This window comes from Homo sapiens, chromosome 17, assembly GCF_000001405.40.
Source record: "Homo sapiens chromosome 17, GRCh38.p14 Primary Assembly".
In the NCBI taxonomy this organism is placed as follows: Eukaryota; Metazoa; Chordata; class Mammalia; order Primates; family Hominidae; genus Homo; species Homo sapiens.
In genome coordinates, this window is record NC_000017.11 from 34,685,315 (window position 1) to 34,709,753 (window position 24,439).

The 24,439-nt window shown below is 41.1% G+C and overlaps 2 annotated features.

Moving 5' to 3' along the window:
• Positions 18,393-18,593: a silencer, noted in NCBI's record as "peak2812 fragment used in MPRA reporter construct". NCBI's record gives its function as "represses an SCP1 promoter by STARR-seq MPRAs in K562 erythroleukemia cells {active_cell/tissue: K562}" and the evidence as "EXISTENCE:reporter gene assay evidence [ECO:0000049][PMID:32103011]".
• Positions 20,803-21,003: a silencer, noted in NCBI's record as "peak2813 fragment used in MPRA reporter construct". NCBI's record gives its function as "represses an SCP1 promoter by STARR-seq MPRAs in K562 erythroleukemia cells {active_cell/tissue: K562}" and the evidence as "EXISTENCE:reporter gene assay evidence [ECO:0000049][PMID:32103011]".

Here is a 24,439-nt window from a genome sequence, read left to right on the forward strand (position 1 = left end):
CTGGGGATTGTCCTGGGGGGCTGGGGATTGGGTGGGGATGAAGGCAAGAAAGGGGATTTACTCCTGCAATAGCCCAGCCCAGAATCTACATGAATGTATGTTCAACAGGGGTGGCTCCAGGCACTCATTCAGTCAGACAGATCAGAAACCACTTAAGATGAAAGACCCAGAATATTTGTGCCTCTCTTCCCGAGAATGGTGCAACTTCCTCAGCTCCCCATTCCCACTGCAAAACCTTGGGCAGGTCCAGGGGATTTGACCCAATTCTCCCACAGGCAAAGCGGCACTTCTTCAGGAGAGGGATATAGGCAGCTCTAGAGAGGGGCCTGGAGATGGGGAGAGGCTGACTTATTGGGCTCATTCAGAAAAATAATAATAATAATAAGTTCCCCAGCAATCAGTGCTGTCCAATCACAGATGGGCTGTCCCATGTAAAAGTTGACTTCTTACTCCCCGAAACATTTGAGCTGGGCTGGGAGAATTCTCAGCACAGCTTTCCCTACAAATAGGAGATTGAGCTTGTTGACTTCCTAAGGTGGCTCTTCCAAGTCTGAGATCTTGCAATGGTAGAGGCGGTGGAATGCAATGGGTTTGAATATGTGTTTCGGATGCAGGCAGCCGGGGCTCCGGCCCCAGCTGCGCATCTTACTTGCTGTGTGACCTTGAGAAGGTTAACTTTCTCTGAGCCTCAGTTCCCTCATCTGTGAAGTGTAAATCAATACTGGCTTTATAAAAAAAATATTTGAAAGGATCTAAATGGGATAATGTATTTAAAGTGCTTAGCACAGAAACTTTTATGTATTAAATGCCAAGTAAGTGGTAGTTATAATTATTCTGCAATAGTAAACCCACAGCAGAATTTGGATTGGACTCAGTCAAGATGCCTGGCTTGTACTCTGCCATTTACTGTGTGACCTTGGTAAATGTGTTAATCTCTCTGTGCCTTGGTTTCCTCATCTGCAAAATAAGGCTAATAATTGTGCTTACCTCATTATTGTGAGGATTGAATTCCGTAACACATCTGAAGTGTTTAAAATAGAATCTAGCCAGTAGCAGTGTGCTATTGCAATGAACTAAATGCTTGTGTTCCTCCCAAATTCATGTTAAAAATCCTAAGCCCCCATTGTGATAGTATTAGGAGGCAGGGATTTGGGGAGGTAATTAAGTTACAAAGGTAGAACCCTCCTGGGTGGGATTACTGTCCTGATAAAAGGGACCCCTGAGAGTTCTCCTGCCCTCTTCTGCCATGTGACAGTACAAGAAGTCAGAAGTCTTCAGCCCAGAAGAAGGCTCTCACAAGAACCTGACCATGCTGGTACCCTGATCTCCAACTTCTAGCTTTCACAGTTGTGACAAATAAATTCTGTTGTGTATAAGGTACTCAGTCCGTGGTATTTTGTTATAGCTACCAGTACTAAGATAACTATCATCATCATTGTCATCATCCTCATCCTCATCTCTAAGTCACCTCTCTAATGCCTGGTACTTGTTAGTGCTTATTTAAAGAAAGATTGAGTGAACGAATGAGTCAGATATGAGGTACAATAATAAGCATTTGTGACGATCTGCTGTGTTTGTGGTCCTGTGCTGGCCAAGAGAATGCAGAGGCACTGTCCTTGTAGGGTTAACACTGAGTTTAAGCAACTAGCAACTTTGGGGAGAAATGAAACACCAGTAAGTTCTACAGAGCACCAAAGAAGAGCCATTGTATCCCTGATGGCACGACCAGACAGGCATCTCGGAAAGAGTGAGAGTTGCACGAGGCTTCAGGAAGGTGGCAAAAATTTGGCAAGTGTCCAGACATAAAGAAGGTAGGTGGGTAGTATTCCAGGTAGGGGGACAATAAGGAAAAGAACCCAGGTAGTAGTGCACATGGCCTTTCTGGAAGACAGTAACAGACACAGAAGGTTGGGTGGGCCCCAGGATTTCCATCCAGGGCATCCATGCCTGGAGATGTGACAGTACAAGTCTTCAGGGATGAAAAAGGAGTTAGGAAGCAAGGTAGAGCATTTCATGTGAAAGGCAGCAATCTGGATTCCATTTCTACCTGGTAGTTGCATGACCTTCAGCAAATAATTCAATATTATAAGCCTCAGTTTCCTTATACTTACAAGGAGGTTAATACATGACCCCTACAAAAATTAATATTAGTTACCCTACAAGGCTCATTTTAGTGCAGAATCTGGCATGTAGAAGATACCCAGCCAATGGCAGCTATTGTTTGTCCTGTGAGCAGCAAAGAGCCAAGGGAAGCTTTTTCCTGATAAGCTTCAGGGAAATTAATCATTGAGTGGTAGGAAAGACGGATTGGAGTGGGACAAAAGGGAAGGCCAAGAGATTGGTTTAGAGACAGTGGTTCATGAGCAAGGCAATGCTGCTTTAAGATGTAGTAGAGACAGCAGAGATCGAAAGGGAGAAAAAGATAAGGCAGTGCAACCCAAAGGACCTAGCAGAGCAGAAGTTGGTAACTAATGGAAGAGCAAGGAATCACCAGTGGCTCCACACTTTTAAGGAAGAGAGGGTGAGCGAGAGAATAGAAGAGGGAACTGATGGGGAAAAGCCTGAGTGATTCCCCATGGAAACCATGATCTTCATAAAATGCAAATGTTATGCAGTCAATAAACAAACATATCCTGAGCACCTACAATGCAGCAGGTACTAAAGATATAAATATGAACAGATATAGTTCCTGCTCTCAGGGACTTTGTGGAAGCAAAGATATCAACAAATGCATGCAATGAAGGATAACAGATGCCTTTATCCACAGTATCTGTCCAAGTAGACTGCAGAATAAGGAGGTAATTGATTTCACCAAGCTTCGTGGAGGAAGTTACTCATGAACTGAGCAGATGTTCTCCAGGGAGATTGTAGGGGGGAGATATCCTTCATATGGATAGGAAAGCATGAGAAAAATACCAATGAGAGAAAAAGCATGACATGCTGGAGACTTCCAAGTCACAGTGATACTCAGGGCTGTCAGAGCCAGAGCTGAGGCTGGAGATAGCTAAAGGAACCATTGCATGAACAGCAGTACAGGTTGTAATTTGGAAAGAGGGAAGGATCAAGAATATTGTATTGGAGGTGTTAGACCCCTAAAGGAGAAGGAGATGAGAGTTCAGGACATGGGCTTAAAGTCAGATATATATGGGGAGAGTTCAGATGGGAAAAATCAAGGACTATGCTTTCTTTAAGATAGAGGGAAGGGCCAGGCGCGGTGGCTCACGCCTGTAATCCCAGCACTTTGGGAGGCCGAAGCGGGTGGATCATGAGGTCAGGAGATCGAGACCATCCTGGCTAACAAGGTGAAACCCCGTCTCTACTAAAAATACAAAAAATTAGCCGGGCGCGGTGGCGGGCGCCTGTAGTCCCAGCTACTCGGGAGGCTGAGGCAGGAGAATGGCGTGAACCCGGGAAGCGGAGCTTGCAGTGAGCCGAGATTGCGCCACTGCAGTCCGCAGTCCGGCCTGGGCGACAGAGCGAGACTCCGTCTCAAAAAAAAAAAAAAAAAAAAAAAAGATAGAGGGAAGGAAGAAAAAAAAAATAAAGACAGTTTAAAGTAGGGAGTGGGGAGCTAATAAGCATGGGAGATCCACCTTGACCTTTGCATAAAAGCCAGAAGCAAGGGCATTAGTTAAAACAAAAAAAAGGATGGGCAGGGGCAGGGAGAGCCAGCCAAGCTAGGTTGATGAAGGAAAGAAGGAGCACAACTTACTGATATCAGGAATGAGAGAGGGATTATTACTACCATCCCTAGAGATATTAGAAGGATAATAAGAGAACAATAATAACAACTTAGACAAATTGGACACATTCTTTGAAAAACAAAAGTAACTAAAACTGACACAAGATAAAATAGAAATTTCAAATAGCCCTGTATCTATTAAATAAAGTAAATTTTTAAATCAAAAACCTTTCCACAAACAAAATTCCAATAATAGATGGTTTCACTATGAATTTCATCAAACATTCAAGAAAGAAATAATGCCCATCCTAAACAAACTAAGAAAATAGAAGAGAATGTTATGGTGCCAGATTAACCCTGATCCTAAAATCTGATGGACACATTACAAAAAAAAAAAGAAGGAAAAAAATGCCAGACCAATATTTCTCACTAATGTAGATAAAAAATTATTAACAAATCAAATCCAGCAATATATAAAAAGAATAATTAATTATAATCACCTAGGTTTATCCCAGGAATAGAAGATTGTCTGAACACCCAAAAACTAATTAATATAATTTATTACATTAATAGAATAGAACAGAAAAAATCATAGAATTGTTTTTATTAAATTTAATACTTGTTCATCGTTTTAAAAAATAAACTGAGCAAATTGAGAAGAAAAGGAACTCAGAAAATTAGGAATTTCTTCAATCTGATAAAATACATCTATGAAACACCTACAGCTAACATCATATTTAATGATAAACAATCAGATGCATTCCCCCTGAGATCAGAAATAAAGCAATGATGTCCACTTTCATTATGTCCAATAACATTTTATTGGAAGTTCTAGCCAGAGCAATAAGGCACGAAAAAGGAACAAAAGGCACATGCACAGATGACTGATTGTTTATGTAGAAAATCCTAAGTGATATACAAAAGAGCAATTAGAACTAATAAGTGAATTTAGCAAAGTCCCAGGATAAATGGGCATTACACATAAATCAATTATGTTTCCATATACCAGCAGCAAACTACTTGAAAATGAAATTTTCAAAAATTCTCTGCACAATCAGGCAAAAAAAAAATACTTAGGAATAAATTTAGCAAAAGATTGGCAATACTTACATACTGAAAACTAAAAGAATTACCGAGATTAATTAAGGAAGACTTAAATGAATGCTTCTGTACTAGAAAACTCAATGTTGTTAAGATGTTAATTCTCCCCAATCAATAACTCCCCTGTTAATTCTATGGATTCAAGATAATCTCAATCCCAATTTCCATCAGGCTTTATTTGTAGAAATTCATAGGCCCATTCTAAAATGGAAATGAAAATGCAAAGAACCTAGGATATTCAAGGCAAACTTGACAAAGAAAAACAAAGTTGGAGGACTTAACAAGACTTCAAGTCTTGTTGTAAAGCTAGTATACTGTCACCAAGACAGGTTGGTAGTATAAAGGGAGATATAATTTCATGGGAGATAATAGGGAGCCCAGAAATAAACCCACATTTATATGTTCATTTGATTTTCAATAAGAAACCAATGTAATCCTATAGGTAAAACAATCTTTTCAACAAATGTGGCTGGAACAACTGGTCATCCATACGGAAAAATATGAATTTTGACCAGTATCTCACATAATGCATAAAATTTAATTTAAAAATGAGTCATGTTTCTCAACATACAAGCTAAAAGTACAAAACTTCTAGAATAAAACATAGTTTAGAAAAATGAAGGACTAGTCACAAACTAGGAGGAAATATTTGTGAAAAATATATATTAATAGACATATCAAGAATGTACAAAAGAATTTCTAAAACACGATAATAAAAACACAACTCAGTAAGGAAAAGGACAAAATATTTAAGTGGACATTTCACAATAATGTATGTATACTAAATATATACCTACTCTATGACCCAGCGATTCCACTTCTAGGTATTTGCCCAAAACACATTAAAAGATATGCCAACCGAAAGACTTGTACAAAAATATTCATAGCAACTTTAACCACAGGAGCTGCTAACTGGAAAAAAACAAAAACAACCTGTCCATGAATAGGAGAGTGGATAAACAAATTGTGATCACTACTCCATGAATCAAAAGGAAGAAACATGCAAAAACATGGGTGAATCTCAAAAACACGATGACGCTGGGTGCAGTGGCTCATGTCTCCCAGTGCTTCAGGAGGCCAAGGCAGGAGGATTGCTTGAGCCCAAGAGCTCAAGACTACATAGTGAGACCCCGTCTCTACAGAAAAAAAAAAAATTAGTCAGACATGGTGGCATACACCTGTAGTCCTAGCTACTCAGGAGGCTGAAGTAGGAGGATCACTTGAGCCCAGGAGGCTGAGGCTGCAGAGAGCCGAGATTGCACCACTGCACTCCTGTCTGGGCAACAGAGTAAGACCCTGTCTCAATAAATAAATAAATAAATAAATAAAAGCATGATAAGTACATACTAGACAATTTCACTTATATAAGATCCTAGAAAGGGGTTTTTTTAAAAATGAGAACTGTGATTGCCTCTGCAAAGTGAGAACAGTGATTAAAAGGGGCATGAACAGATTTTCTGTGTGATAGTAATGTCCAATATCTTGAGAGAGATTTGGGTTACACATGTGTAAGCATTTGTTAAATCTCAAAGGCTACACTTATAATTTGTGTGTTACTGATGTCAATTTAACCTTCCCACCTCACACATACAGAACTACAAGCAAATATTGAACTCTACTTAAGGGCAAAGTATAGCAAACATCTACATCTTACTTTAAAAAATACCAAAAATAAGACTGAAGAATAGATATATACATAGGTATTTGATGAAAGACATAAGGCAAAATGTTGACAATTGTAGAATCCAGATACTGGGTATATGAGTATTTAAAATTCTTTCAATTGTTCTGCATGTTTTAAAATCTCATTTAAAAAGGCTTTGGGAAGAGGCAAGTCAGGAGAAGGGGTGCAGGGCTGGTCAAGAATGGGAAAAAAAAAAACTCAGAATAGCCTTGATATGAGGGCAGAAATGAGTGGTCAGGATTTCCCAGCAGGAATGATGGCTCAGTTAGGGTTCTATAGCCCTTATGTGTAAGGAAGTCAGTCAGTATGTATCCCAGAAGTTCTCCAGCCAACAATCACCCCCAGCCAGCTTGATCACCCCTATCCAGTTGGACATCTAGGAAAGAATGGTTCTATCACATCTGCATCTCCTGATGGAGAGTGCCTCCTCCATCAGACGAGAGGTTCCTCCAGGGCAGGGACTTAGTCCCCCACATCACATAGGAGTTTACTTTAAGCAGGACCGAGGTCTCCCCCATTACACTAGGAGCACCCTTAGGATAAAGACTATGTCTTTCCGTCAACTTGGGAGCTTCCTCGGGACAGGACTAATTCCATCATCAGAAGGCTTCTCTGGATGTATCTGCCATCTGGTAGGGGCTTCTCAGAGGGCTGGCAATAGTTTATCTGTGTGTCCCCCATGACTCCCACATGGGCTCTGCAGGCTGAATGCACTTAGAGAGAGTGAGGGAAAAGGGATTGACAGTACCCAAACAGGAGCACTCTATCTTCAATCATCCCAGGAGCTGACACTTATGGGTTTCACATTTAGCCAGGAAAAAGCAGCATTAATTCACTGTGGTGACTGAGATTTTACACATCCTAACGTGAAGAAATTCTAACTTGAGGTTCTCCCAGCAACTGTAGCTGGGCAACATAACCCCCAGGCACTTGCAGGAGGTCACAGCATTCAACAGCTCACTGGGCAGGGGAGAGCACAGCTGCCTTCACACACCTGGGTCCACTGGAACTGAGGATGGGTGGCACCAAGAGATCAGGGAATGGGAGACAGTGCTGAGGACCCAGGGAGAGAATGCCTACCATCCCAGTTTTCCAGGTTTCTGTGTGAGGGATGGTTCAAGCAAAATAAAGTGAATCGTATGGAGAAGTGTAAGCAGGAGATGAGAAAAGAAGAGCCAAAAGTGTGTTCTCTACTTTCCCTCTTTAGAACACACCATAGGATAAGTAGTGCATCTCTCCCATATCTTTCTCTCTCTCCCATCTCTCTCTCTCTCTTTCTCTCTCTCATATGCATACACAGATGTACAGCTTAAAGTATGACTCATGTTCACAAGAGTAAGTTCCTTAGCAACTGATGACACATTTCTAAGATGTTGGATGATTAAACACCTAGAGTCGACACCTGGCTGAGAAATGGAACAAACTTGGTTATTATATGGGATATGAGATATATTTATCTTCCATCCTTCAAGCCAGTTTCCCATGGGCTCCCCTTCTCACCAGACCCTTATAAGTTTGACTAACTTCCAGATTCTCTTTGAGACTCAAGTCCTATCATGATAACACAGCTTGTTTTTATTATTCTGGGTAAGGTGGAGAGGGGGCCATCAAGCCAGGCCATGAGGATTAATCACTCATCTTTTCTGTCAGATTTTTTCAAAGGGTCATTTTATATTCCTTCCAATGATTGTAGACTTGTAGACTAGACAACTTAAAGGCTCTTTTTACCTAAAAACATCCAACTTCTGCTAAAAGAAACTTAAGTACATCTCTTGGCTCAACCTAAGTAAGAGAAATATATAGTAATCCCACCCATCTCTCAAAATGTATTAAAACTAGGATGAGGAATAGTGGGCAAGAAGGCAATTCAACATGCAGGTGTTGGAGCGAGACACGAACACCTACTTTCACCACTGCTATTCATCATTGTACTACTAGAGCAATGAGACAAGAAAAATAAAGTCATCCAATTGGAAAGCATGAAGTAAAGCAATCTCTATTCATAGAAGATATAATCCTATATATAAAAACCCCAAAGAATCCACAAGAGCATTATAAGAGCTAATAAAAGAATTAAAAATGTTGAAGGTATAAGATCAATATGCAAAAATCAGTGGTGTTTCTATACATCTGCAATGAAGACAGGGAAATTAAGAAGGCAATACCATTCACAATAGCATCTAAAACAATAACACTTCTAGGCATAAATTTAACCAAGGAGGTGAAAGACCTCCACAGTGAACTCCAGAAAACATTGTTAAAAGAAATTAAAGAAGACATAAATAAATAAATGGAAAAGCAACCCATGCTCATGGTTAGGAAGACAATATTGTCAAATGGCCTACACTACTTGAAATGATCTTCAGATTCAATACAATCGCTATCAAAAACATCCAACAGACATCTTTTCTTTATTACTATCTTTTGGAGAAATGAAAAAGCCAATCCTCAAATTCACATGGAACTGCAAGGGACCTTGAATAGACAAAATAATATTGATGGAAAACAAAGTAGGAAGGCTAGCACTTTCCAATCTCAACACTTACTGCAAAGCTATGGTAATCAAAAGAATGTAGTACTGGTATAAGGACTGTCATATAGGCCCATGGAATAGAACTGAAAGTCCAGAAAATAAACTCATATTTCTATGGCCAATTGATTTTTTTACAAGGGTGCCAAGTCTTTTCAATACAGAAAAAAGAGTCTCTTTAACAAGTGGTGCTAGAACAACTGGATTTCCACATGCAAAAGAAAAGCTGGACCCCTATCTCATAGAATATACAAAAATTAACTCTAAGTAGATCAAGAACTTAAATGTAATAAAAATATAAAATTCTTGGAAGAAAACATAGGGAAAAATCTTGGACTTGGCAATGGATTCATGGGTATAGTACCAAAACTATAAGCAAGAGAAGAAAAAAGTAGATACATTGGACTTCATCAAAGTTAAAAATAATTGTGCATTAAAAGACATTATCAAGAAAGTGAAGACAATCTACTAAATGTAAGAAAATATTTGCATATCATTTGATAAAGGCTTGCTATCCAGAATACATAAAGAATTCCTACACTCAATAATAAAAAGACAAATGATCCAATTAAAAAATGGACAAAATATTTGAAGAGACTTTAGAGAGCATATAAAAATAACCAATAAGGACATGAAAATATGCTCAATATCACTAGTCATCAGGCAAATGCAAATTGAAACCACAGTAATATACCACTGTACACATACCACAATAGCAATAACAAAAAATAGTAGTGGAAAATAGCAAGTGTGATTGAAAATGTGGAGAAATCAGAACCCTCATGCATTGCTGGAAGGAATGTAAAGTGGTGCAAACTTTGCAGCAAACACTATACTGATTCCTCAGAAAAGCTAAACATAGAATAACCATACAATCCAACAACTTCACTACTAGGTATATATCCAAAAGATGGAAACAACCTGAGTCTATCAACAGATAAATAGATAAGCAAAATGTGGTATAAACAGGCAATGTTAATATGACTCATCTATAAAAGGAAATGAAGTTCTGGTATATATTACAACAAGGAGCAACCTTGGAAAAATTACTTTAAGTGAAATAAGCCAGACACAAAGAATAAATACTAAATGGTTCCATTTATTTGAAATATCTATAATAGGTAAATTTGTAGAGACAAAAAGTAGATCAGAGGTTGCCAAGGGCTGAGTGAAGGAGAAAATGAGAAGTCATTGCCTAATGGTAGAGAGTTTCTGTTGGGACATTGGTTATAGATAGTGATACTTGCACAACACTGTGAATGTAATTGATGCCACTAAATCATACACATAAAATGGTTAAAATCACAAATTTTAAATTTTTGCCACAGTTACTATATGTTGCCACACAAAAAAATGTAGTGATAAGTATTCCCTATGGACAGTTGCTGATATCAGTGCTTCCACTGATAGCAATATTAAACCCAAGAGCGGTGGTAAGGTAGAGAAACTGAGCCAGGGCTCCCACTTTAACCTGGGTTCTCAAAATGGTTAAATTGGTTCCAGAACAACAACATTCCCCTGGCTCCTGAAGAAGCAAATAAGTCTTCTTTGGAAAAAAGCATCTATAATTTAGGTTCCTCACATTCCCACACATCATGTGTACCCAAACATGAATTCACAAAGATTACAACTGTATAGGGAAATAAACCACTATGAGTGAGAATCAGCACAGGCAACCAACAACAAATTCAGGCTCTCAAGGGCTTCAGGTATTGGAGTTATTTATTAGAAGACAAGCTTCATAACAGCACGCATTTTTCTATTTAGTTTACTGCTGATTATCAATCTCTATAACAGTAACTGGTATATAATAGGCACTAAACAAACATTTGATGAATATTCAGACATAAAAACCAAATATGTATAAAACATTTGAAGAAATTTGAAAATCAGAATAATGAGCAAACAGTAATGGACCATAAAAATTATTGGAAATATTTATAAAAAGAACCAAATAGGAGCAAGGTATGGTGGCTTACATCTGTAATCCCAACACTCTGGGGGATGAAGGTGGGAAGATCTCTTGAGGCCAGCAGTTCAAGTCCAGCCTGGGCAACAGTGCAAGACCCTGTCTCTAAAAAAGAACTAAATAGTACTTTTAGAAATGAAGGGGATATAATAAATTAGACACACTGAAGAGATAATTTAGTAGACTGGGCAATCAGACTGAGGAAATTATTCAGAAAGATAAGATGTTGTAAAATAATGAAAGAGAGATTAAGAGATATGGAAGATAGAATCAAAAGAGATCTAGCATGCGTTTATCAGAGACCCAGATGGAAATAATAGAGTATCAAAGAAGAGGCCCAGATGGAGAGAATAGAAAGAATCAAAGAAAGAAAATATATGAATAAAAATAACTGAAATTTTTCCACAAGTGATAAAAGAAATGTATCCAAAGTATAGGAAGCACAATATATATCAAGTAGAATTTTTTTTAATTTATGTTTACACACATCATTGTGAAATTACAGGATACCAAAATGGTGTCCAGAGAGAAAAGAAATCAGATTCAAGAGCCGGAGAGAAAAGACAGATCATATATAACAGAGCTAGAGTTAGGCTGACAGTGGACTTCTCATAAACAACAGAAACCAGATGACAGTGGAGTGTCTTTAAAATTTCAAGAAAAATAATCATCAATATAGAAATGTGTATCCTGCAAAACTGTCTTTCAAAAGCAAACATGCAATAAATACATCTGTAGATGACCAAAATCTGAGATAATTTACCACCAACAGAACTTCACCAAACGGACTTCTCAAAGATCTACTTCAGGAAAAAAGAAAATGATTCCAGAAGGAAAACCTCAAATGCATAGTAGAAAGGGGAGGAAAGAAATTGGCAAAGATAAACATTAGTAAGTAAATTGGTAAATTAAAACATTGTCTCTTGGGAGCAATTACTATTCTAATGTCCAATGTTGGGACTAAAACAAAAGACAGACCAAAAGGACTGAAAAAAATAGCAATTCTCTTCTGTCGGCTGTCTGAAGTGAAGAAGGTCAACAATATTGCTGTGTACATAGCTGAAACTTCAGAAGTTGAGAAAAACATCAGTTTGAGTGACTAACTCTGAGCCTGTTTCTCTATGAGGAAGCCCATAATGGACATTATATTCACATCTCTTCATTGGACTGTGGTGAAGTTCACCTTTAAAAATTTCAGCTTCTAGATGGGCCTCTTGCTCCACTCAAAATTGACTGACTTAAGTCAGTCAAAATTCCTGACTTAAGACATCATCTGAACATGTTTAATAATAAATCTAATTGTGTATATTGGCCGTCTATACTGACCACTTTTGCATTGTGCTTTTTATTGATACATGTGTATTTTACTTCCAAACCTTCCTTTTTGAAAATTAACAAAAATTTAACCTTTTAAAGTACTTTAAAAATAATAAAAGTATATGTACTTTTATGAGGTGATAGACATGCTATGTACTCCTAACAAAAGTGTGGTCTACTGACCACCCACATCACATTCACCTGGGTCACTTGTTAAAAACACCACTACATCCCTGATGAATCAGAATCTCTGCAGTTGGGAACCAGCAACAAGCATGTTCAAAAAAAAAGCTCCTTCAATTATGCTTCCAGCTAAAAAATTTGGGACCCATAACTGTAGGTGATAAAGGAGAGAATACCATTAGGAGTAGAGAAGAGACAGTAAAGAGGTGAAATTAGTCCTTGAGAGGCAGCTTTGGGTACACATCTGTCACCACCAGAGCTGTTAAAGACTTGCTGGAGATCTCACTACGAAATGAGCTCACCCGTTCTTAGTGCCACTTCTCTCCCAACCCATCCCAAACCCCTTTCCCCAACACACACACACACACACACACACACACACACACACAAATGGATAATTTGTTCTGCAATGTCAAGAGAAGACCAAAACTATAAGAAAGCAAACAACTACTCATAGGCAGCACCTGCAAAATGAATAACAACAATAGCCACATTGGGGGAAGGGGTGTAGATTGTGTACGTCCTTGGATTTTATTCTTAAGTAAGATAAAAGTTATTGGTAAGTTTTGAAGAGGTAAAATGTGAACCATCGTATGTATTTATAGAATGACTTTGGGGACAAGGGGAGAAGCAGAAATCAGTTAGGAGGCTAACGAAATCACCAGGTGAGAGGTGATGGTGGATGCACCCAGGATGCAGCAGTGGAAGTGGTAAGAAGTAGCCAGATTCTGAACATGTTTTGTAAATAAACACAATAGGAATTTTTAACAGAATAAAACTAGTGTGTGTGAGAAGGAAAGGTGTTGAGGATGACATCAAGAATTTTAGTCCGAGCAAAGGATGGATGGAGTTGACACTTACGGAGATGGGAAAGACTGTGGGAGAAGCGTGGTTAGAAGAGGGAATATCAAGAGTTTCTTTAGGGATGTGTTAAGTTCAATTTAAGATGTCTAAGAGGAGATGCTGGGTAGGCAGCATCTGGTATACAAGAGTAGGCAGCTGGGGATATGAGTGAGTCTGGAGTCAGGTATGTGTCAGAGATTATAGATTCAGGACTGTTAAGATACTTGTCCAAGGTCACACAGCGAGAAAGTGGCAGAACCCAGAACTCAGTCCTGCAGCATCCGACATCAAGGCCTGGATTCTTAACCTCTATGTTATGCTGCTTCTCCAGGAACCCAAGGTGAACCAAGACCTAGTTTCTGAGAGAAGAGAACAGAGTAGAAGTTTTCAAACTGCAGACCTATGGCCTCGGTGACTATAATTCTTCCTGTCCCAACAAGAGTTGTTTCTAGGTTACGACTTTGTCTTTACTCCCTTTCAGCATGTACTTGCCTTTCGAAGAAATCATTTCCCAGGAAATGGGCACCCCATGTATTTCTGTGCATGTGGATAGAGTGGGAGGAAGGGAGAGTTGAGTTTTTGAGGGCTTTTTTCCCCCTTTCTTTCTTTTCTCCTTTTTTTTTTTTTTTTTTTTTTTTGGAAACTGTCTGGGGGCTGTGGTGTTGCTGCTGGTGGTGGCAGCAACTGCTACAATCAGAGCTATTTTGAACCAAAGAACTAATTTACTGCATGAATGACTTTAGCTCAAAAGAAGAAATAAGGACGATCAGGAGTCCTAAGGGAAACGAATAATAGGGTAATTTACACGGGGAGATGAGGGAGGTGAGAGGAACACACAGGGTAATTCTTTGGCTAATCTTTATTTTCTATTTTTGCCCTTTCTCCCTCTGCCTCTCCAGGGGCAGATCCTCAGCTCTGAGATGCTTCTGGCCATCCGCAGGATTGATACCTGAAAAGGATGAAAGGGCAAGGGAGATGGGGCTACTTAGAGTGGAGAAGAGAAGGTCAAAACGCAGTTTCATGTCCATTTTCTAAAGCCAGCTTCTACCAGGGAGATGGTCTGTGAGAGGCCACCATTAAGCCTTGGGACAGGTGAGGGATTGCAAAGGACAATATCATGTGCCCAACTGAGTGCCATATACACCTGTACCCACCAGCTTGGGATGGCCCCAAACTAAGAGTTCACTATTACCCCCTTTCTTAATTTCCCAGCACAGAGAGAATCGAGAATAGCAGGACTCTTGGAGAGAATTTAGTCCAAGGCCTATATATTCCATGGCAAGGAAACCCCAAAGGCCTGGATTCTAGATCTTACTCCAGCACATACTAGCTATTTGACCTTTGTCGGACCCTGAAACCCAGAGTTTCCTCATATATGCAATCAAAATTGTCATTTTCTTCACTGAGTAATAAGGATCAAAAGGCCGGGCACCATGGCTCATGCCTGTAATCCCAGCACTTTGGGAGGCTGAAGCAGGCGAATTACTTGAGGTCAGGAGTTTGAGACCAGCCTGGCCAACATGGTGAAACCCTGTCTCTACTGAAAATACAAAAATTAGCTGGGCATGGTGGTGGGCACTTGTAATCCCAGTTACTCGGGAGGCTGAGGCAGGAGAATTACTTGAACCTAGGAAGCGGAGGTTGCAGTGAGCTGAGATTGTGCCGGGACACCCCAGCCTGAGTGACAGAGTGAGACTCTGCCTCAAAACAAAGAAAAAAACAAATAAAAAAAACAATGTCTGACAAAGCACTTTGTAAACTGCAAAGCACCCTGTAAAGGTGAGTTATTGTTATTGGTACTTGTCAATGAAGGAAACTGAGTCCCAGAGGCATTATGTGACTCATCCAAAGTCACATTGCAAATAAATGCAGAATAAAGACTTGAACCTAAGCCTCCAGTGTTCCTTCCACAGGAGAAGTAGTGTGGCATTATGGTTAAGGGTATAGACCTTAGAGCTGTGAAAGAAGAAATTAGTCATAACTCTTGTCATGAATCAAGGCAGGCTTGATTCGAGGCTATTGTAATTGGTATAGGGACGACTGCCATGGAGTTTTGCAGTAGAGGAGTGAGATAGGGCTCAACTTCCAATACAACATGAAAATGTGGGAACTTATAGCCAAAGAGTGGGATGGAGAGGGGTGATTGATGGGTGAAAAATCACTAAGTAGACATTTGAAGGGGAAAGAGGGATTTCTGGCTAAACCAACCTAACCAGATTTTTGCTTGAGGCAGGCCAGAATGACCAGATATCAACTGGGGAATGGTAGAGGATGAGGAATTTGCTCAGATATAGATGGTGGAGGATCTTGCTAAACCGACTTAGCAGGATTCTTGCTAAAATCAGGCAATGCAAAGACAAAACCAAAGTCCAAAAGTCAAGGCCTGGTTGGGAAGAGGACTCAGGGGAGCCTGACTTAAGTTTGTTCAAGGAGGGGCTCTTCATCAGAGCCAGGCTACCTGGTTCACCGTTTGCCAACCATGGGACTTTGGGTAAGTTGGTTACCATCTTCAACCTACTTCATAGAGTTGTATGAGTTATATGCATACATGTAATGTATACATGGCTACATATATACACGGCTACAAGTATACATGTGCAGCATTTAGAAAATGCCTGCAAATGATGTCTAATAAATGCTAGATGTTGATCTTATTCAGGAAAATGGACTAAACCCAGGGAGCTTCAAAGCATGTGGAGATTCTCCCCTTATGGATTCTCTCAAAGACCAAGAAAAGAAATGAGAGTCAGATGCCACAGTAGGAGTTGAGGTTCAGCTGACATGGAGCTTCATGTATGGTAAAGCCAAACTACCTTGCCTTGGAGTCAGGAGTCCTAAGTTCTTGTCCCAGCTCTGCCACCTAAGGCAGACCCGGGACAAGAGCATGTCTAAGGCTCAGGTGCCTTGTCTATAAAATCAATCTAACAATCATTTCTCAACCTGTCCATACTACAGGGCTTTGGTTAGATCCAAGTCAAAAACTCATGAACTGTAAGGTTCTGTGAACATATTAATATTATTTTTGGCAGTACAGCTCTCTGAAACACGTTTTACAGGTGTGTGCATTGGGGATCAGGGGTGACTGGGAAAGGTACAGCATTTTCTGCCTCTGGAAAGCATGAACAATAGTCAGCCTCCAGAGTGTGTTGGGTTGCAGTTCCTTCTGACAGTGAAAGATCTTCAGGGTCTTTTGTGCACAATCCTAGCCAGGTACCACCCAAGAACAGACATGAGGGGGATGGAACAGGACAAATTAGTTGCATACTTTACACCATCCCCCAGCCCCTACAATGCTCCTACAGGTGAAACCAGGTTAATTGCATATATTTACATCTTTCAAAGCCTTCTGTCAGACACTCCCTTCAGAAAAACTGCCTAGAGTTTTCTAGCTGATGATCCTCTTATCCTTCCCAGGATGCTTTTTTTCCTTGCATACGTGGTTAACTCTCAATTAAATGGAGCAATGGAACATAGAGGAGTAGAGGGAAGCCACACATAGCCCTGAGTCACAAATAAAACAAGACTGCAGTAACCTTTCATTATATGTTATCAGATTACTGTGGGGAAGAAGAGCTCTAGACCTGGGGGTGCTCACTTCTCAGAAGGAGTTTGGAAACTGGGCCAGGGATGATGTGTATAATTACACAAAGGAATTAACCTTGGGGTCAGGAAGCTAGGGGTAGAGATAGAAAAGGGGACAGAAGTTGTTCCAGTTGTGAAGCAAGTAGGAGCCTATCCGACCCTCTGACATGGCATCACAGACATTTGCTCTTCACAAAGCAGGTTTCAATATACACTAATCACCTCTGCTAAGCCTCTTTGGGGGAGGTGAGCACATCTCAGCCTCTAAAGTATTTTAGCCACAGGTAATGCATTCATTAACCCTCATATAATGATAATAACCATGGTTTTGTTACTACATCTAGCACATTATATTGCAATTTGTTACCTTTACAGGTCCCACACCAGATTAGAAACTCTTTGAGGGAAGGGACTGTGTCAAATTCACTTTACACCCCTTGTGTCCAGAGCCTCACATACCATAGCTGCTTAGCAAAACTGTGTGGGGCAAATATTTGTTGAATTTACAGAGTTGAATGTGTCATTAGAATGCAGCTTATTGCCTTTTCCGGAAGTAGGGAGCAGCAGGAGTTTTACCCCATAAATCAGTCACTGTCTTATGTGCTGAATGGATCAGGGGAGGCCCTAGAAGCCATCAGCAGATTGGAAGGAAGGAGCCTAAACTTTAAGACCAGACTCAGAGCTGAGTTCTGAATGCTAACAGTGACCATGACTTACTGAATCAAGATTTTCTGGGGGGATAGGAAAGGAGAACCCAAGGAATACTTCAAAACATCATGTTTCCTAAATCCCTACGTAAGCACCACCAATCTGATGTAGATACCGGCACCATCATTCTTGGAGGCAGAAGCATGGACAAACTGACTTACGTCCTTGGTCATGGAATTCAACCTTGGCCACAGTTTTATGTACACTGACCTTCTCTGTCCCAGACCTCTTTGTTAATCCACTATAATTAAGCAGCCACAAATGCTGCATAAAGAGCCAGTTACTACCATAAACACAAGATCAGGAGTTATTCTCTGTTACCTGTACATAAATGTTCCCACTTAATGTGTAACAGTACCTATTCCATGATTGAATGGACTCTAGGTTTATGGCAGTAGCTGTTGCGTGCTGTAGCCTGTGGTTTTATGGCCCTAATTCCATAATAAGCCTTAGTTTTAATTTTTCTCCTTCTACCCTGTAGCCAGAGTCTCCTGGGTGTGGGGGAAGGGAGAGGGCTTCTGCCCAATGGCTCTAGGCAACCTGTCACAGAAAAAAATCTTCGCTAGAGCCAAATCAACCCACCTGCTCCTCCATCAAAGAAGAAGGTCACCTACCCCGTGGGGAGGAGGCCTGAACAGCCCAGATGCCCTCCATGTCAGAGGTCTGAGCTTTGAAAGTGGCAAATTTGTCCTGTAAATGTGCCAGGGCAGTGCCAGCTGTTCACTGCCCCAGGAGATGTCGTAGCTGGGGCAAAGGGAAGGAAGGAGTCAGGAAAACAGGCCAGGATTAGGAGGTCTGCCAGTTGGAGGACCTGAACCTAGCCATAGGGCACAGCATCATTAAGCAGGAACCAAGGGAAGGGGGTGTGCCACAAGCTCCATCGCTGTCCATGGTGCTGACTCATGCTTGCAAACTAGGTCCTGATTGTTTCTCCGAACCCTAGGATTCTGGAGAATCCTGTCCAACCTTCTTTTGATTATATTTCCTTTTCTGATGACAGTTTAGCATTTTTACACTGCTGCAGAATAAGCAGAATCATGACATGTGTTTCGCAATTGATGCAATTGGTTTCAAGTAATGTTTACAGTTCTATCATATTTCCAACATTTACAAGAAAGTTCCCTTGGGCATTTTAGGTGATCCTCTCCCTAAAACACCATTGCTATTCACATAATCTCAGCACACAGTGTAGAGGTGACAAGTGGAAAGAGGATAGCACCAGCAGGAGCTACTAGGTGAGTAAAGTTGATCCCAGCAGGACGCCTCCCCACCTGCAAATTTACTATTCTAGGGAGCCACCAAACAACCCTTGTGGAGCACAACATGTTGTTTGAACCATTCTAATTTTGTAAAGTCACTTAGCATGACAAAAACTCTTCCAAGAGACATATTTAAGAAGTAGGTGGCAAGAATAAAAAGGGAGAATCTCCATCCCAGCTCCACTCTCCAGAGAAGAAAAAGTAATGGACATACCCTAAGAAGAAATCTGGTATTTTACCTGCTATAACAAAGACAGGGGCTGCAGATGAGGAAAAACAGGAAATTTGGAAGAACTCAATATGAGATTATTTTAGGCCCATTTTCTTTCTACTCCTGGACCTGTATGCATTTTGGAGTGGGAGAAGTATAGGTCTCTTGTTACCTGGTGAGTCTGGGCCAAGCATTTAATCTCTCTGTACCTCTGCTTCTGTATCTATCAAGCTGATAACAACAATAATCCTTTGCTATGGTTTGAATGTTTTTGTCCTCTTCCAAAATTCATGTGTTGGAATCTCAATCCCCAATGCAATAGTGTTGGGAGGTGAAGCGTGTTGGGAGATGCTTAGGTTATGATAGCTCTGCCCTCATGAATGGATTAATGCCCTTAGAAAAGGGGTTGACAAAGGAAATTATCTCACTCTCTTTTTCCCTCCAACCTTCTGTTATGTGGGCACACAGTATTCCTCCCCTCCAGATGATGCAGCATTCAAGATACGTTCTTGGAAGCAGAGAGCAGATACTCATTAAACACTGAACCTGCCAATGCCTTGTTCTTGGACTTCCCAGCCTCCAGAACTGTAAGAAATATATTTATGTTCCATATGGATCACCCAATCCATGGTATTTTATTATGGCAGCACAAAGAAATTAAGACATCTTTCTTCACAGGGATCTTAGGAGGACTAAATGAAATAATAAACGTAAAACACCCAAAGCATGGTGAAGACTCAATAGATGATAGATTCTCCTCTACCCTCCCTTCTGTATCTTATTTTTCTCAAATATTCAATGAGACTTTGAACACCACCTCGGAAATCCAAGAAGGCAAAACCCACTTGAACTTCAGGTTACCGAAGCTCAACCCCCTTGCCTGCTCTAAATCCAGGAATAGAGGGGAAAGGTAAGACTTTTCAGGTCAATTCTCTTGTTAAGATATCTGGCCAGGTGTGGTGGCACATGCTTGTAAACCCAGAACTCTGGGAGGCTGAGGCAGGTGTATCACTCAAGCCCAGAAGTTCAAGGCCAGCCTAGGTAACATAGTGAACCTCTGTCTCTATGAAAAATACAAAAAATAGCCAGGTGTGGTGGCATGTGCCTGTGGCCCCAGATAAGGAGTCTGAGGTAGGAGTATCACCTAAGCCCAGGGAAGTCAAGACTGCAGTGAACTATGATTGCACCACTGGACTCCAGTCTGAGTGACAGAGTAAGACTCTGTATTTTTTTAAAAAAAGATATCTGAGGGAAACCTTGAGGTCATGGAGATCAGCTGGTGATAAGAGGACCATTGCCAGCCCCATGGAATCACACTCACACTCATCCCATAAAGAAGAAGGAGGAGCATATGACTAAATAACTTGCTCCCTGTCTTCTCCAGTTCCCCACAATTCCTCTTCATGACCCCTCTGCCATAGACACAGGAAATTTTGGGAAAACAGGCATCAATGGCAGTCCTGATCAGTGCAACCAGGGAGTAAATATCACAATAAAGTGATAGGACTGGACTAAATGTCCTCTAATCTCCTTTAGTCATGATCCTACTATATGTATATTCCGACTTGCACAAGCTGCTTGGAGGCAGAATTTCCATCTTAGATTTTGGCTATGTCACCCACAGCTCTGATTATAGACTTACCACATGCATGCACGAAATTTCAAAACATCATGTGGTTTACCATAAATATATGCAACTTTTACTTGTCAATTTAAAAATAAATAAAGTTAAAATTTTAAAAACCATGACAACTGACAAATGGGGGGAAAAAAGTGCAACTGTAATTCGGCCAGATCTAATATGGTTGATTCTCTCTGGGCCCAAGCTCTTCAGAACCGTGGACAGCTCCTGACAGCCGGGAGAAGGGGAAAGTGGTTGAGCAGAATGGCAGAAAAACAAAAACTAGAATGTCAGAAACTGGAAAAGACCTGAGAGGTTTTCTAAATCCAATCATTTATTTTGAAGATAGAAAACTGGGGCCCAGAGAAGGGGAAAGAATTATTCTGGAGTCATGCAGTGACCAGGTGGGTTCACTCATTTTCTCATAACTCAAGAAAGTGCAAAAGCAACTTCAACTCTTTAGAGTGAGACATAATATTTACATATTTGTTCCCAATTTGAGTGTTTCTGTCCCAAAAGACAAAGAACAGAACAAGAGAATCTGTCTCAAGATTTCCTTGTTACATTCTCTGTTGAACAAATTTAGAATAAGAGCTCCTTTCTTAGGCATGGAATCACACACACACACAGAAACACACACACACACAGACACATACAGACACACACACACACACACACATACACACCACACTTTTCCCAACTATGATCTCCTTTATTACTGTGCTCCTGGAGCGTGAGGGGCTTGACTCACCTCTCTCCAAGACAAAGGCCACCTGAGTTTAGGGACCACCCTCTTCCCTGTAGGATCCAGTTGAATACTCTTTTTTAGTCATCTTTCTGCATCGAACTTTATATTCAGCTCCCCTAACTCATCTGGACCAGCACCCCACCAACAGAAACCAGAATAATATCTGCCCCACCAGCCCAAGAATTCCATAAGGGAGATAGCCACAATATCTTGCCAGGTTGGTGCTCCTTCTTACTGGGAGCCACACTTCCCTCATCAGGTTCACACTTCCCATAAGATGAGAATGGGGTCTCTTCCAGCAGGCAGAGCCCTGTCTCTTCCTCTCACTCCACAATACTTGGGATGATAGCTCAGAAAAATGGGGCAATTATAAAAAAATTATACTGAGGCCAGGAGTCTTTTCAGGAACCAGACACCTTCCTTAAAGCGTGAAGAAAGTGCAGCATCTAGGAATCTGAAATCTCTCTCACTACATTTTTACAAGTTCACATCCTACCTCCCACCCTCCTCATCTCAGCTTCAGAAACCTCTCCATTATTCAGTGTCTCCAAAAGAAGGAAAATGTCTGGGAACTTTGGTGCTAAGCTGCTAATTGGAGTCTGTGGCTTGAAGGGAGGGGGCAAGGAAACAGAAGTTATTGTGCCCCAGAAACACAATTATTCAGATTTCCTTGCTTGCTGGAATCCTGAGGCTGGACTGTCCCTTTACTCCCCTCATGAAGGCAGTCACTTCTCTGCAGAGCCAGAACCAATAGCCAAAGTATGCAAGGTGCCTGAAGGTGGCAATGGCACAGCCTTGAAAGGCAGAAAGTCTCCTCCCTAGTTCACTGATAACAAAGATCAGGCTGAATGCCTTGATGTCTTTCCAAGCCATTCAGGCTTCTCAACTTTGGGTTTGGGAAGGTCTCCAAACTCTCAACTCTTTTTTTTCTTCAACTTTAAAGTTCTGAAGTACATGTGCAAGATGTGCGGGTTTGTTACATAGGTAAATGTGTGCCATGGTTTGCTGCACAGATCATCCCATCACCTAGGTATTAAGCCCAGCATCCATTAGCTATTCTTCCTGATGATCTTCCTCCCCTTGACCCTCTGACAGGCCCCACTGTGTGTTGTATTCCCCCATGTGTCCATGTGTTCTCATTGTTCAGCTCCCACTTATGAGAACATGCGGTGTTTGGTTTTCTGTTCCAGTGTTAGTTTGCTGAGGATAATGGCTTCCAGCTCCATCCATGTCCCTGCAAAGGACATAATAATCTCATTCCTTTTTATAACTGCATAGTATTCCATGGTGTGTGTGTACCACATTTTCTTTATCCAGTCTATCATTGATGGACACTTGGGTTGATTCCATGTCTTTGCTATTGTGAATAGTGCTACAATGAATATGTGTGTGCATGTATCTTTATAATAGAATGATTTATATTCCTTTGGGTATATATCCAGTAATGGGATTGCTGGGTCTAGTTAGATTTCTGCTTATAGATCTTTGAGAAATCACCACACTGTCTTCCACAATGGTTGAACTAATTGACACTCCCACTAACAGTGTAAAAGCATTCCTTTTGCTTGGCAACCTCACCAGTATCTGTTGTTTCTTGACTTTTTAATAATAGCCATTCTGACTGGTATGAGATGGTATCTCATAGTGGTTTTGATTTGCATTTCTCTGATGATCAGTGATATTGAGCTTTTTTTCATATGTTTGTTGGCCGCATGAATGTCTTCTTTTGAGAAGTCTGTTCATGTCCTTTGCCCACTTTTTAATGGGGTTGAACACTCACGTCTTAAGCATGGAAAGCCAGTACTAAAAGGGACTTTAGAAATCATCTCGTTTCATCTTCTTATTTTACAGATGGGTAAATATAGGCTCAGAGGGATTCACAAAGCAATTTAGCATTGATGTTCGTCTCTGAAACTCAGAACTCCCCACCCTGGTCAGGAAAGTGGCACCGTCGTAAAGTAGAAAGGGCTCTGAAATCAGACACGACTGGTGTCCAAATATTGACCCTGCCACCTGAAATGCTCTGTGTTCTTGGCAAAGTCACTTAACCTCTCTGGACCTGTTTCCTCAGTGTTTAAAATGGGGGTGAGGATAGGCTATTGTGAGGATTTAATGAGATAACATGTGTGGAAGTGCATCATATGTAACAGATGGTCAAAGGAGTGAATTTTTTCCCCCACTCTGATTCCTCTCAGCAGCAGTCTATCTGCAGCTCCTTCTTGACCTTCCCCAGCTCTTTTGTTTTCCCCCACAGCCTGTGCTCCTCAGCACTCTCTTTTCCTGCCCCATCTATATGCCCAACTCCCCTCCAGAGTGGGTGAGGAAGGAGGGGTTAATAACAAGAGTTCTTGGGTCCCCTCCAGGTCTCTGAAAGTTAGCAAAGTTCTCATGCAACCAAGCAGAGGCAGGGAACAGAGCGAGAGTAGGAGGAGACAGGCAAGGTCGGCAAGCTGGCCTCTTTGTTCCTGGAAAATGAGTGCAATTTCCATTCCTTTCCACGGAAGCTGAGTCCAGCACCAGTGTGTGGCAACAGGCAGCAGAGGTGTTGCCGTGGTGAGTAATGGTCCTGGCTATGGCTCTGCCCTCAGCTTGTACCTCATGCCCCAAAGACGAACTTAGGGCTAATGAGTCAGTGTGAGTGACAGCTTTGACTTGGCCCTGGCTGGCACAACAGTCCCTCAAAACCCCTGCACTATTTCTGTTCTCTAGGGAGCCCTCCAAACCCCATCTCCGGAGATGTTGCTGGTGCTCATTTGATTCACTGCACTGGAGGAGATGGAGGCCCAGAGAGGGGAAGCTCCTCTCTCCTGCAGAAGCTGTGAGCTTTCTGACACTCTCCAGGGCCCTGTCAGCAGCCCACACAATTACCTGCAGAAGACAGAATTAAACCTCAGACACAGCTGACTTAAGTGTCAGCTTGCTAGCTATGTGGCCTTAGGTAAATTACCTAACCTCAATGTTCCTGCCTGTAAAAGTGTTAATGATAGTATCTATGCGTCGT